General features: G+C 43.6%; 2 annotated features.

Moving 5' to 3' along the window:
* Positions 6,994-7,524: an enhancer, noted in NCBI's record as "H3K27ac-H3K4me1 hESC enhancer chr11:95180437-95180967 (GRCh37/hg19 assembly coordinates)". NCBI's record gives its function as "activates a minimal SCP1, AML or CMV promoter by ChIP-STARR-seq in naive H9 embryonic stem cells {active_cell/tissue: H9 hESC(naive)}" and the evidence as "EXISTENCE:reporter gene assay evidence [ECO:0000049][PMID:30033119]".
* Positions 11,250-11,299: a silencer, noted in NCBI's record as "silent region_3850". NCBI's record gives its function as "represses an Ori minimal core promoter by ATAC-STARR-seq in GM12878 lymphoblastoid cells {active_cell/tissue: GM12878}" and the evidence as "EXISTENCE:reporter gene assay evidence [ECO:0000049][PMID:35858748]".

Below are 15,395 nucleotides of genomic sequence, written 5' to 3'. Positions count from 1 at the left end.
TGACATGCGATAAGGGAGGCCACGTAGTCTCAGGAGTGGAAGCTCTGAGAATGCTTAGGAAGTGAGGCTGGGAGACAGTATAGCAAAGAGCTTTTGATGGACACTCACTGTGAAGTAGAATTCAGGCCAAAGAGTAGGAGAATCTCTGAGGGGAAAGCAAGCCTAGAGCGGAATTTAAGTCACACACTTGTATACAGTAGGGAGTGAAAGATTTGGTATATATAATAGATGCTGTAGGACCTCAAATGAGATGACTAGAGTAATATCTAGAAGGGATTCATTGAAGAAACACTTTCTCATTTTCTACCTTCTCTCCTATGCCCCTAAATCTATTACCATCTTTGTTTCCCTGTCATCCTCTCTCTTTTCCTTTTGTCCTGCCTGTGCCTGAAGGTGTCTATGGTTTTAAAGATTGAGTCTAAACAGCGGTCTCACCAACGCCCTCCCTGGGTCACTCCCCTCCTTTGCCAGAGCCGGCATTGGCACTGCTGGGAAAGAACTCTGCGCAATGCAAGGCAGACTGCATGGACTCGTGCCTGACCCTATCCCCACCCCATTCCCATGCCATACTATTCACCCTGTCAGACAAAAAGGAAAAATGCTGGCACCATGCAGATGATCCAGAACAATGTCCACAGTTTCCAATATAAACTGTGCAGCTCAGGGCTCCCACCCTGCCGAGCGTCCAGTAACTTTTGCTGAGCCATCCAAGCCCAAGGGAAAATAACCCACTGTGAAAGAACAAAGGCAGCCTTAGCTCAGGCCTGTCCCCACCAGTCAGGAGAGGCAGGCGACAGCACCTCTGGGCCAGTGCGGTCCCTGGAGGGCGGCCAAACAGGCTGTTCTGAGCATGACAAGGCAAGGGAGGGGCCCAAGAGGCCCCAGTCAATGAGAAATAGATCTGCCTGAGAAATAATAATGAATGAAAAGGCGCAGTGACAAAGCCTTGCCTCCGAGCTGGTTTGGCACACCCTCAGATCTAATGATATGTTCAGAAAGAAAAATCCACAGGCAAGATTTGGAATCCTTTAAGCCAACTAGTCATCCACAAACAGGCCCAATGATCTTGGTTTTACCAGCAGGCATTCCAAGAAAGGGCTCTTGGGCCTGACAGCTGTCCTTCTTCAACAGGCTCAGCACTTGTCAGTGCTGGAATGTGAAATAGCCTATTTGGGAGCAGAGGGATGGACTAGATGAACCTATGAGCTCACGTAATTCCAGGTCAAACAGGCAGTGAGAATGAGACTAGTACCTGTGACTGTGAAAAGACATACTGGTGAGGGAATAGAAGCAAAGATCAGAAGGAGGGGTCAGGAGGAGCAGGGTCTTTTTCAGTTCTCAAATATTTGCTGAGCTTTCCTTGAGACTTGAGAGCTGAGCACAGTGAGGTTAGGGGACAAAAATAACAGATGCCACCCCACTCTCAGAGTGCTTATGAGATTATCTACCTAAAAGTGCCTTAAAAAACATTTTAAGGGGGTCAGAGAGTATTATTGTCATTACCAAAGATGCCTGGAGATCATCTGACTCTGGATCCAAGTCTGATAGCTTGGTGGAGCTGCTTGGAAGTGGGTATTGAGTTTGTGAAGGCTTGCGTGGGTTCAGGCTCAGCAAAAGGAATGCGTTGATTCATTAGTGCTGTTTGTAATGGATAGAAGGGAATGCTACATATCCAATGACCTGAGTTCCAATCTAATTTGGCCTATTTTACAAATAAAACAGCTGAGTTCCGGGAAGAGGAGATGGCAAAGTTGAACAAAATGGGCACTAGATTGTCACAGCTAAGCCTTCGCTCACCCTGCCCTGGGAGAGCAGGACAGATGAGCAAACTCCAGGAGATGCCGGCGATGCCACACAATCGCACAATCGTAGGGAGGAAGAGAGAAAGGAAGGGAGGGGCTGGGAAGGCTTCTAGAGGCCACAAAGCAGCACCATGTAAACACATACGTGGTTTCCAATGAAACAACAGCTCCCACTTAACCCTCCTTCTCTTTTCCTGACCATGGAAGGTTGAGGTTAGGTTGCCAGGAAAGTGGCAAAACTTTCCCATAGATCCTACCCTGGGTTGAACTTTGAAAGAGTATTATAGATTTCTTAAGAAGTGAAGTGTTACAGGCCACAGTTTATGATGATTAGGTGAGAGTTAAAGCACACATTTTATTCTACATCATAATAGAGCTAGTTGTATACCAGTCCCTCTTTGTGAAATTAAAGATTTCATGAAGATATTATCCCTGCATTACCCAGCAACTAATAAAATTGTATAAAGAGTAGGCATACAGTGAATATTTATGAATTAGACAAATAAATGAAGACATTATTAATATCATTTTTAGGGAATCCAAAGATTAGCAGTTAATCTTCCAGCCAGGAGAGAAAACAAAAACACACTTGTAGTATTAAGTTTATTAAATTATGGAACTGCTCACTCAGCCATTCCAGCCAAGGAGCAAATAATCATAATCATAATCACTAACATTTATTGAAGAATTACCATGTGTTTTATGAGAATAAATACGTCAGGACAGATTAATTGTTTTAACAAGCAATTCTAAAATATCAGTAGTTAAACCATAATCCAATACAGATTGAGAGGGGCAGAGCGGGGAGTGCTATGCTCCAGTCATTCAAGGACCCAGGCTCCTTCCATACAGTGGCTCTGCCTTCTCTGAACCCTAGAGTTCTCTTCTGGATCCTCTGAATCTACCAGTAGATGAGGAAAGAGAGGGTATAGAGGATTATAAGGAAGGTTTTGGGGATAAGCCTTCGATAATGTAGCCTATATCTCTTCTATCCACATTCCATTCATCAGAGCTTAGTCACAAAGCCTCACTTAGATGCAAGGAAGTTGGGAAATGTAGTCTATTGGTGACTCATGAAGAAAAGGGAAAAGGTTGTTGGGTATCTAGCAAGTCTCAGCCACAAAGCATTATCTCATTTAGTGCTCAAGACAGCCTGATAAGGCAGATGTGATTTTTATTCCCATTTTGCAGATGAGAAACTTGAGGCTCAGAAATTAAAATAATTCCCAATATCACACATCTAATAAATGACAGAATTGAAAGTTGGTCCTAGATCTGACTCTAAAGCATATATTCTAGACCCACTAAGTTATGGACCTTCATAACTGAGGTTTTTCTCTTTTCCTTCCTATTTTTCTCTTTTCCTTCCTCACTACACAGACTCTCACCATGTTGATTTTGGCTCTCCTGGATCTAAACTGCTGATAATACTTAGCTATTTGGCATCAGAATATACATTATCTTATCTATTTTCCATTGCACTTCCATGTGGTAGGTATTATTAGCTCTATTTTACCAGAGAGGAAGCTGAGATTGGATGGGTTACATAACTTGGCCAAGATCAAACAGCTAATGAGAGGCACATTTGAACATAGTTGAATGCTGTACTGTGTCTTGCTCCTTGGCCTGGAACTTTGGAAGGCCTTTCCCTAAAAAATGTTTTTAATGACAAAAAATAAAATTGAATCCTAAAAAATGCAACAATCCACTTTCCCACAGAGCATCCCAGAGTGGTTGGCATCTGCAAGGTCAGAGGCCTCAAAACTGAGGTCAGACAAGCTTTTGATTCTTCAGGTCTGAATCCGTCCACAAGGTGGGAATATCAAATAAATTTTTCAGCTTCTGACCTTATTAATTGTAATTAGACTGGCATATCAATGCTTAAAGAGGTTCTTCCCAGCCGAAACCGTCCAGGAAATGAAGAGTCAGATAAATAACAAGGCTGACGCAAGGCTAGGGAAATACTCCAGACTCAACTAGGGGGTGGTCTCTCCAAGCCAACAGCATTATTCATGGCTGGGTCACTGGGTGCTGATGAGGAATCAACAGCTAGAGCAAGATTTGCCTGCTGGGCTCTCTTCTTTCCTCTCCCATCCTCACCCCTATCCTGACCTGCCTACCCTCCTCTCTCCTTGAACTATCCACTTGCACTGAGTTTCTTTATCACACCCTCTCCAGGCACTCAGGAGCCATCAGACATCATGTACTGCTCCCTGAGAGGGAAAAACAGGAAATGAATCTAATTAAAACTGCTGCACTGTAAAGAAGGAATTAATGATAAGAACAATAATGCAATCTGAGGACTTGGGCAAATTGGGCAGATAAAAGGAAAAAAAAAAACAACAGCAGATTATGAGTCTTTGAGGCAGTTGACGCTACAATATCTTCAATCATGCAAGCTGCACTGGTCATAGGAGCACACTGCAGAGCCCCAGAGCCTTGGAACTCCAGCTCCCTCCCTTCCCAATACCCTCCCAGGCGGAATTTTTCCCTTGACTACAGCCTCAGATTTTTCTTCCTAAGGATCTTGAACCCCATTATTTACTCTCAGGCCAGTCTTCATGGGATTGACTGTCACCAGCAGTGACAATCTATGAAGATGTAATAATCCTCCATGTTGGAATCTTTGAGATCATCTACTCCCATACCCAGGGAGGCAACCAGGGCCAGACAGTTTAAATGACTGGCCCAAAGGCAAACTGCTGGTTAGGAAGGGAGCCAGGACACTCAGGCCTACAGCCTTCAAGCTTGGAGAGTCTTTTTGCTAGACCACACTTTGGTGTGCAACTCCAGGTACATGAATTGGTAACAGATTCTACTCTATTATTCATTTTTTTTAAAAATCCTACCAAGATGTCTTGGTCAAAGTTTCCCTTTACTGCTTCTTGCTGGATGCCCAAGAAGCTGGTGGTATCTTTTTCTGTATCAGGTGAACTATAAACCTCTTCTCCTTCCCTTTCAGGCTCTTCCAGGAACCTGGGTTTTGTAATTTCCCATTTCTCCCAATCTAAACTACCTACCTATTTTGCCACCTACCTAAAGAGTCTGTCTTCTGACCTAATTCTCACAGTAATGAACTCATTTTACCTCCCTCTGTATCTTTCTCATGCCCTGCCAAGGATCCATGGTCCTTATATTTCCTGGCCTTCCATGGCCTTTCCCCATTTTAAATCCTTCTAATGGAGACAGAAAATTGTCCTTTATCTGCACATTTAAAAGTTTTCGGAAAAAAAATAGAGTCACAGGTGATTTCTGAGGTCCTCCACTGCCAAGTCCTTTCTTCCCCACTATCCCTTGCTGCTCCTACCACATTGGCCTCGTTTATTTTTTAGAAAACACCAAGTTCTTTCTTACCTCATCGTCTTGAGGATGCGATTTCCTCTGGCAGAGTCTTACCACAGAGCCTATTCTCCCACTCCCACCTCCTCTCCTGGCAAGCTCCTTCTTATCCTTCAAGACTCACCTTCTGTATTATTTGCTCTAGGTAATCATCCCTGACTCCCCTACTTAGGTAAGGTCCCCCCCAACTAACTGCTCTCAGATAATCCTGTATTTACTTTTATATCCCTTATCATAAATGGGATTATACAATTGTTTTTAATGATTGCAACTTATTGTCAATGTCCTCCAACAGACTGTAACTTCCATGAGTAAATGGCCAGAAGGGATTGATGTGTTGTACGTATATATTCTAAACACAATCATCCCTCGGCATCCAAGGACAATTGGTTCCAGGACCTCTCACAGATTCCAAAATTTATGGATGCCCAAGTCCCTGGTATAACATGGTGTAGAATTTGCATACAACCTACACACATCTTCCCATATACTTTAAATCATCTCTAGATTACATATAATACCTAATACAATGTAAATGCTATGTAAATAGTTGTTTTACGGTATTGTTTGGGAAATAATGATGGGAAAAAAGTCTATATTTAGTACAGATGCCTTTTTAAAAAATATTTTCGACCTGTGAGTGGCTGAATCCACAAATGCGGAACCCACAGATACGGAGGGCTGATGGTAGTGTTCTCAGGACACTAAAGCTGACACTGCTTTATCTGTAATTATTTGCGTATATGTGGAAGCACCCACCAAGAGTATAAATCCCATTGTGGCAGAAACCCCTACACTGATGGACATATAATAAATGTTCATTGAATGAATGGAGGGATCGATGTCAATAAAGCTCTTATAACCCTTTAGGGTTGAGGGAGTGGTGCTAGTTTGCTACTGAAATATTGACAAAAGACATAAAAGATTGTCAGTGTGCAAGTGTAAAGCTATCTGTTATTTCTCTTTATCACATCTCCATTTTTGTTTCTCCTTCTTTCCACGAGTCTCTGTATTAGTGCTTCCTACTCCCAGCTACTGAAATCTGTGTTCGTTTCCTATTGCTGTGTAATAATTTGCAACAAATTTAGCAGCCTACAACAATGCACATTTATTATCTCACAGTTTTTGTGGGCCAGGAATGTGAGCACAGCTTAGCTGGGTCCTTAGCTGGGCCAGGAATGTGACCATAAAGGTGTCACCCAGGGCTGGGTTTTCATCAGAGGCTCAAATAGGAAAGGATCTATTTCCCACCTTCCTTGGATTGTTGGCAGAGTTTATTTCCTTGCAGCTATAGGTTTCATGGCAGCTTACTTCTTCAAAGTCAGCAACTGAGACAGAGAGAGAGGCCCTAGCAAGATGGGTGCTATGGGGTTACATAATCCCGTGCACATAGTCATGTGCATCTCTTTACCTTTGCCACATTCCACTCATTGAGGCAAGTCATAGGCAACACTCAAGGGGAGGGGATTATACAAAGGTATGAATATCAGACATCAAAGATCATGGGATACCTTAGAGTTTATCCACTGCAACCTTCTAAGACAAAGGGACATGGATATGGATATGAATATGGATATGGATATGGATATATCTCCATCCATCCATGAAGTGGATCATTTCTTGGTACTGTAGCTTTTCCACACAGGTTCATAGGCTAGCATCACTCTCCAAAACCAAACTTAAAACCAAGAGTCATTTGGTAAGAAGAAGCACATATACATATGTTTACATTTGTATGTATTTGTGTTTTGAGGGGGCTAGTAAGGGACAGGCGATGGGAGGGAGAAGAATCATTTAGATCAAAGGGAAGAAAGGAACCAGTGATATTTCAGAGAGGGGGTCAGCTTCTGTTGGAAGGAAAAAGGAAGAGGTATTTCCCAGCAGAGAGAAGCCCAAGACAGAATTTTTTACATAGTAGGGTTCCCATCCTACAACATCCCTGGTACTGTTCAAGGTTTCCCCAAGCCCCTTATTTTTGATGTTACCCCCATTCCACAAGAAGCTTAGAATGAGTGCTTCCCCTGAACTGAACTTGAAAGTACTCATCCAGCCTGATTTGTACCCCCTGCACCTGTCCTCTGTCCCCAAGGCTGCCTTAGGGTCCCATCTACTTGACCCAAGCAAGTAAAGTACTGGCCCACTTAGCCAACTCAGGCCCAAGTCTTCATTCCCCCAAAGCACATCCTATGTACTATTGATGGCAGCAGTGGCCCATTAAAGCAGCTGCTGCCATGACACTGGCTGCAGTGGGGAAGATGTGACCCGGGCTGTGCGCTCCATGGAGCTGTTGGGGGCTGGAAGCAGGCAGGAGCCCTACCTTCTTAGGCACAGCTGCAGCCAGCCAAGCCATGGCTGTGGACCTGGCATCTCTGCACTCTTGGGGGCTTGGGAAGTTCGGAAGGTTTCCCCTCACTGCCCCTGCAGGCTCCGAGGTGTCTGCTCCCTGCTTCTGGTACCCACTCCAATACCAGAGCAAGGTTGGGGCCAAGCACAGGCCCTGTCACAGCCCAGCTGGGTGTGTGCCTGCCCTCTGCTGCCTTGGTCCCCTCCGGGCTTTGGGTGCCGATGAGCATCAGAGGGAGGCCGAGGTGGGAGCTGAGGGCAGCTTGGTGCTGGCCTGCAGGCACCCCTCAGCATGAACAGCCTGGGTGCCATGAATGGTGGCAGCAGGCAAACAGGATCCTGGGTGGAAAGGGGACAGGTCCCTGGTGAAGCCCCACTTTCAAGGTGGGGAGGACCTGAAGCGTGGGTACTACAGTGGGGGACGTGTGGCCTCGCTGTGTGTTCCACAGAGCTTGGGGACTCCCAAAGACCAGAGTGGGAACTTGTGGTCCTTTTTCTGGGCCAGCCCATGGCCCCCCATGGACCAATCAGCACACACTTCCTCTCCTCTGAGACCCATAGAAGCCCTGGACTCAGCCAAACTTGAGGAGATGATGGGACAACCAGCTGTGGAGAGAAGCTACCCACTCCAAGGTCTCCTCTCTGCTGAGAGCTGAACACTCATCAGGACACCTGCCCGTGGAGAGGAACTACCCAATGTGGGTCTCCTCTGAGCTGCTCTGTTGCTCAATAAAGCTCCGCTTCACCTTCCTCACCCTCCACTTGTCTGTGAACTTCATTCTTCCTGGAATCAGGACAGGAACTTGGGACCCACCAAATAGCAGAGCTAAAAGAGCTGTAGCACAAACAGGGCTGAAACACACCCCTGGCTCCCCATGTTGCAGGTGCCAAGAAGGAGAGCAAAGAGAAGGAGAGAAGAGCTGTTGCCCTTCAGGGACCCCAGAGCTAGGAGCTCCCTGACTAAGCCAGGGCAGTGAAACATCCTCTCTGGGGCTTTGAAGTTCCTGGCGTCTCCAACCTTCCAGGTGTTATTGCATTCCCTGGTGTCAGCTGTGGAAATTGCTTACAGTACGCCTGGTCCAGCTGCAGCCTCGCAGGGAGCCAGTGCCTGTGCCGGCACCTGAAGCTGCCTTCCCTGCCATCGCCAGCATGCCTGGCTGTGCACAGTGGCTGGATCCTACACTTGCTCACACACCCCTTGCTGCTCTGCCCCTGGCTCCCCCTTGGCAGGCATGGGGTCCAGGCCGGTAGCGCGAGCCAAACACAGCCAGCCAGGCCGAGTGGGCAGAACGAGCCCTGTGTTCCTGAGCAAAACTTGGACAAGGGCGCCACTGGCCACAAAATTTCTAGCTGGTGAAGCGACACTCCAAGAATCCTATGACACTGGGGCCTCTCTGCTTCCTGACCAGGAAGGCTGGATTCCAACCCCCTCCAGAGCTATCTGCTGTGGCTTTAAGAGAATGACTCTGAGTTAAACAGTGAAAACAGGACATTCAGCAAGAAGAATCCTTCTCAGGCCTGGGAAGCGCCATATCTGTTATTAAGGGATGAGGTCTCTGGGTACTTAATTTAGGAAACTTGCTGCAAGCCAGATGGATAATGCCAAAGGCCAGATGTAGCCTCAACTAGAGCTTCCTTAGCACAGCCTTAATTCATTTTTGATAGTTTTTTCTTTTTAATACTTCAAAATCTCACTCTTTTAAAACTGTCAAGATTAGTAACCATTTCCAAGGACAGACCTTGAATTATCATTACTGCCCATATTATGTCTTCATTATATTTTCCTTATTTATTTTGATATACAAGAATTGGTAAGTGTACATGTCTAAACTTCTATACTAGATGGTACACTTTTGAGGATGGGATTCCCTCTTTTAATTAATTCAACTCTCTCCCCAAACTCCCAAAATACAGTGAAATGTACAGAGAGAAAACTGATTTGTTAACCAAATAATCTATCTCAATGAATTGTGTGAAATAGGATAAGACATTAAAACTTTATAGTCCCTCAGTTTCCCCTATTATCTTTAACATGATTTTTAAGCTCACTTTCTACTCTAGACCATAAATGCCAAGAGGTTTTGTTAAGCAAATTAAGAGTGCAAACAAAAAAGAGGAATGTTTTTAACCTATTTTAAGAGAACAAAATGCTTTCAAGTGCTTAACGGTATCTATTTTTACACATATGGGATCATTAAAATATCAGGGGAGCCAGCTGCCATCAGGCAAATGCTTTGGATGTTCTCATTGCAAACCCTTCTGACCCACTGTACTTAGAAAGCCCCTTCTCTGGTGAACAGAACTTCCCTTCAAGTAGGTAACTTCAAAGAGGCAACGTGGTACACTGGCAAGCCCTCAGATCTCTTATCTGAAAAACCAGTAAATGAATTTAATGATACTGAGGAAGTCTAATATAATAGTAGAAGCAGCTCCCACTCAATCAGGCCTTTGCTATTCTGGTAGATCCCTAAAGAACATTGCACTCCTATACCTGGTGTGATGGGGGAGCGCCAGGATCAAGAGCCACAGATCTGGGTTTAAGTGTTCCTTTCCTCTGTCACTCACTGGCTATGTGACATGGACCAATTAACTTGCTTGCTCTGACCTTCAGTTTCCGTCTAGATTTGTCCTTCCATCCTGACAAGCATATTATAAAGATCAAATGAGGAGATGAGGTAATGAGTAGGCAAGCTCTTTGTGAACTGAAAAGAGATACAGATGTTAGCTCTATATTTTAAAATATCCCATCAATCACATTGTGATTTAATTAGCGTAGGCCATTTCCCACAAGCTAGTACAAGTCATAGGAATTTGACTGTATTGTGTTAGCATGTTACTGGATTCTTTTGCAGACACACTGTGAAGCAATCAGGTACAATAGTTAATAGTATGCCATTAAAGGCAACTAGACTTGGATTTGAATAACAATTTTGTAATTTACTAGCTAAGACTTTGGGAAAGATACTTTACCTCTCCTAGCCTCAGTTTCCAATTCTGCAAAGCAGCATTAGTTGAAAAATAATAATAGCTGTGTTATGGACTGAATGTTTGTATCCCTCCCGAGTTCATATAGTGAAGCTGTGACCTTCAGTGTAATGATATTTGAAGATGGCATCGTGGGAGGTAATTGGGGTTAGAGGAAGTCTTGAGGGTGGGGCACTTATGATAGGATTAGTGCCCTCATAAGAAGAGACACTAGAGAGCTTGCTCATTCTCACTTTCTTCACCTTGTGAGGACATAGCTAGAGGGGGGACATCTGTAAGTTAGGAAGCGACCCCTTTCCAGAACCCAACCATGCGGGCACCCTGATCCTGGGATTCCAGCCACCAGAACTGTGAAAATAAATTTCTGGTGTTTAAGCCTTCAGTCTGTGGTATTTTGCTTTGGCAGCCCAAGCAGACTAAGACAATCTACTAGAGTAAAAAATAATCAGAAACATAATAATCACTGAATATTAAAACCAGAGGAAATTTAAACCAAGAAATTAATTACCCAAGTGCTAGAAGAACTGAAAACTCAGCAAGGCCAGTGAGGCAACTCAGAGATCAAGAGCAAGCCACCGCTGCTACCCCGAGACTGCAAGGACAAAGGGAGGCTGTGGGGTTACGAGAGCTCAAGGTTCAGGTCACCCATCGGAAACTGAAACCACAGTGGGGCTGTCTGGGGTAATCAAGAGATTCAGAGGAGGTGTAGCTGCTGATGCAAGCAGAGAGAGAGAAATGCCCTTAATTCTCCCTTCCTCCCACCCTCAGACTCCTCCCAGTGCTTCTCATTGGCTGTAGCAACCAAGTTCTAGTGACATCAGAACCTGGGACGCACAAATCTTGATGATGAGGACACCCTGTGTACATAGCATAACAGGGAGGGGAAGATTGGCTTCAATAGCAAATAGTCCAAGGACCAGCACAGTCACCTTCTTGGGATTCATATTAGTTAATTGAAGATTAATATTAGTTGTATGAGCGATCCTGGCTATTCAATTAAGTATTTAATTTAAAAACTCAATGCTGACTTATACCATGGTTCCGTTAGAGCTAGATCTTTCTCTTACTATATTAGACATCCTGAGTGTCAATAGGCTCTTTCACATGTTCCAGGCACTTTCACATATGTAATCTCATTTAACTCCAAAGAATTTGTGCTTTTCTCCATTTTCCTTCCTATCTGCTCAGTGGTCTTATCCCTAGCAACTGAGGGGTGCCAGGATGTGGGGTTTAAAAGTTGGCCCTTCTCCATGTAGCTCCAACCTAGTTGTCCAGGGAAATGCCCGCCACATCTTCCCTGTGAACCCTATGCTGCAATCACTTTGGAGAACCCCCTACCAGTTCCCAGAATGCTCACTCTTTCCTGCTTCCTAGATAGCATTCATACTGTCCTTTGTATAGCCTTCTTTTCAGGACCAGCTCATTGTCCCCTCCTCTGTGAAGCCTAGAAACTCAGCTCACTGGCAGAATGCAGCACTTCCTCCTCCATCTCCCTAATATGCTCGAGGCTCCTGAGATTATTGTAGGGATTATCTGGTTGCAGGAGTAGCATCCTCTTCTGCTAGATCATGAGATTCTGGTTGGCAGCTCAGAGAATCTGGAGGCTGAATCCTGGAGGAAAAGCTTACACCCAGTGTGGCACAAGGATTTAGAGCCCAAGAGACTTAAGTCTGAGCTCTAAGTCTAAGTCTGATCCCAGGAGACCCATTCTGATCTCTACCAATTCCTAGCTGGGAATTTAGACAAGCGAATTAATCATTGAGCAGGTTTTCCCTCTGGCTAAAATAGGGAAGACAAGTGCAAACCATCTCTCAGGGTTATTTTAAGAATTAACTTAGATAATCTATGTCAAACGCTGGTAGCAGTAGGAAATTTTTACCAAAGGCTGATCTCCTTCCCCTTCCTTTTCACCTACAGTTAACCTCAGGGTAGTGAGGCCCAGGAGTCATATCTGGCCTGGTGCAGGAAAAAAGGACAAGAGATTAAATATTTTAGGCTTTATGGGGCACATTCAGCTCCTCTCACATATTCTTCTTTGTTTTATTTATAATTTTTTTTTTTACAATTCTTTTTTTTTTTTTTTTTTTTTTTTTTATTATACTCTAAGTTTTAGGGTACATGTGCACATTGTGCAGGTTAGTTACATATGTATACATGTGCCATGCTGGTGCACTGCACCCACTAATGTGTCATCTAGCATTAGGTATATCTCCCAATGCTATCCCTCCCCCCTCCCCCGACCCCACCACAGTCCCCAGAGTGTGATATTCCCCTTCCTGTGTCCATGTGATCTCATTGTTCAATTCCCACCTATGAGTGAGAATATGCGGTGTTTGGTTTTTTGTTCTTGCGATAGTTTACTGAGAATGATGGTTTCCAATTTCATCCATGTCCCTACAAAGGATATGAACTCATCATTTTTTATGGCTGCATAGTATTCCATGGTGTATATGTGCCACATTTTCTTAATCCAGTCTATCATTGTTGGGCATTTGGGTTGGTTCCAAGTCTTTGCTATTGTGAATAGTGCCGCAATAAACATACGTGTGCATGTGTCTTTATAGCAGCATGATTTATACTCATTTGGGTATATACCCAGTAATGGGATGGCTGGGTCAAATGGTATTTCTAGTTCTAGATCCCTGAGGAATCGCCACACTGACTTCCACAATGGTTGAACTAGTTTACAGTCCCACCAACAGTGTAAAAGTGTTCCTATTTCTCCGCATCCTCTCCAGCACCTGTTGTTTCCTGACTTTTTAATGATTGCCATTCTAACTGGTGTGAGATGATATCTCATAGTGGTTTTGATTTGCATTTCTCTGATGGCCAGTGATGATGAGCATTTCTTCATGTGTTTTTTGGCTGCATAAATGTCTTCTTTTGAGAAGTGTCTGTTCATGTCCTTCGCCCACTTTTTGATGGGGTTGTTTGTTTTTTTCTTGTAAATTTGTTTGAGTTCATTGTAGATTCTGGATATTAGCCCTTTGTCAGATGAGTAGGTTGCAAAAATTTTCTCCCATGTTGTAGGTTGCCTGTTCACTCTGATGGTAGTTTCTTTTGCTGTGCAGAAGCTCTTTAGTTTAATTAGATCCCATTTGTCAATTTTGTCTTTTGTTGCCATTGCTTTTGGTGTTTTGGACATGAAGTCCTTGCCCACGCCTATGTCCTGAATGGTAATGCCTAGGTTTTCTTCTAGGGTTTTTATGGTTTTAGGTTTAACGTTTAAATCTTTAATCCATCTTGAATTGATTTTTGTATAAGGTGTAAGGAAGGGATCCAGTTTCAGCTTTCTACATATGGCTAGCCAGTTTTCCCAGCACCATTTATTAAATAGGGAATCCTTTCCCCATTGCTTGTTTTTCTCAGGTTTGTCAAAGATCAGATAGTTGTAGATATGCGGCATTATTTCTGAGGGCTCTGTTCTGTTCCATTGATCTATATCTCTGTTTTGGTACCAGTACCATGCTGTTTTGGTTACTGTAGCCTTGTAGTATAGTTTGAAGTCAGGTAGTGTGATGCCTCCAGCTTTGTTCTTTTGGCTTAGGATTGACTTGGCAATGCGGGCTCTTTTTTGGTTCCATATGAACTTTAAAGTAGTTTTTTCCAATTCTGTGAAGAAAGTCATTGGTAGCTTGATGGGGATGGCATTGAATCTGTAAATTACCTTGGGCAGTATGGCCATTTTCACGATATTGATTCTTCCTACCCATGAGCATGGAATGTTCTTCCATTTGTTTGTCTCCTCTTTTATTTCCTTGAGCAGTGGTTTGTAGTTCTCCTTGAAGAGGTCCTTCACATCCCTTGTAAGTTGGATTCCTAGGTATTTTATTCTCTTTGAAGCAATTGTGAATGGGAGTTCACCCATGATTTGGCTCTCTGTTTGTCTGTTGTTGGTGTATAAGAATGCTTGTGATTTTTGTACATTGATTTTGTATCCTGAGACTTTGCTGAAGTTGCTTATCAGCTTAAGGAGATTTTGGGCTGAGACGATGGGGTTTTCTAGATAAACAATCATGTCGTCTGCAAACAGGGACAATTTGACTTCCTCTTTTCCTAATTGAATACCCTTTATTTCCTTCTCCTGCCTGATTGCCCTGGCCAGAACTTCCAACACTATGTTGAATAGGAGCGGTGAGAGAGGGCATCCCTGTCTTGTGCCGGTTTTCAAAGGGAATGCTTCCAGTTTTTGCCCATTCAGTATGATATTGGCTGTGGGTTTGTCATAGATAGCTCTTATTATTTTGAAATACGTCCCATCAATACCTAATTTATTGAGAGTTTTTAGCATGAAGGGTTGTTGAATTTTGTCAAAGGCTTTTTCTGCATCTATTGAGATAATCATGTGGTTTTTGTCTTTGGCTCTGTTTATATGCTGGATTACATTTATTGATTTGCGTATATTGAACCAGCCTTGCATCCCAGGGATGAAGCCCACTTGATCATGGTGGATAAGCTTTTTGATGTGCTGCTGGATTCGGTTTGCCAGTATTTTATTGAGGATTTTTGCATCAATGTTCATCAAGGATATTGGTCTAAAATTCTCTTTTTTGGTTGTGTGTCTGCCCGGCTTTGGTATCAGGATGATGCTGGCCTCATAAAATGAGTTAGGGAGGATTCCCTCTTTTTCTATTGATTGGAATAGTTTCTGAAGGAATGGTGCCAGCTCCTCCTTGTACCTCTGGTAGAATTCGGCTGTGAATCCATCTGGTCCTGGACTCTTTTTGGTTGGTAAACTATTGATTATTGCCACAATTTCAGAGCCTGTTATTGGTCGATTCAGAGATTCAACTTCTTCCTGGTTTAGTCTTGGGAGAGTGTATGTGTCGAGGAATGTATCCATTTCTTCTAGATTTTCTAGTTTATTTGCGTAGAGGTGTTTGTAGTATTCTCTGATGGTAGTTTGTATTTCTGTGGGATCGGTGG

The sequence above is a fragment of the Homo sapiens genome, chromosome 11 (assembly GCF_000001405.40).
Source record: "Homo sapiens chromosome 11, GRCh38.p14 Primary Assembly".
Classification (NCBI taxonomy): domain Eukaryota; kingdom Metazoa; phylum Chordata; class Mammalia; order Primates; family Hominidae; genus Homo; species Homo sapiens.
The sequence above is the reverse complement of the archived record's forward strand: the minus strand, read 5'-3'. Positions and strand labels throughout refer to the sequence as shown.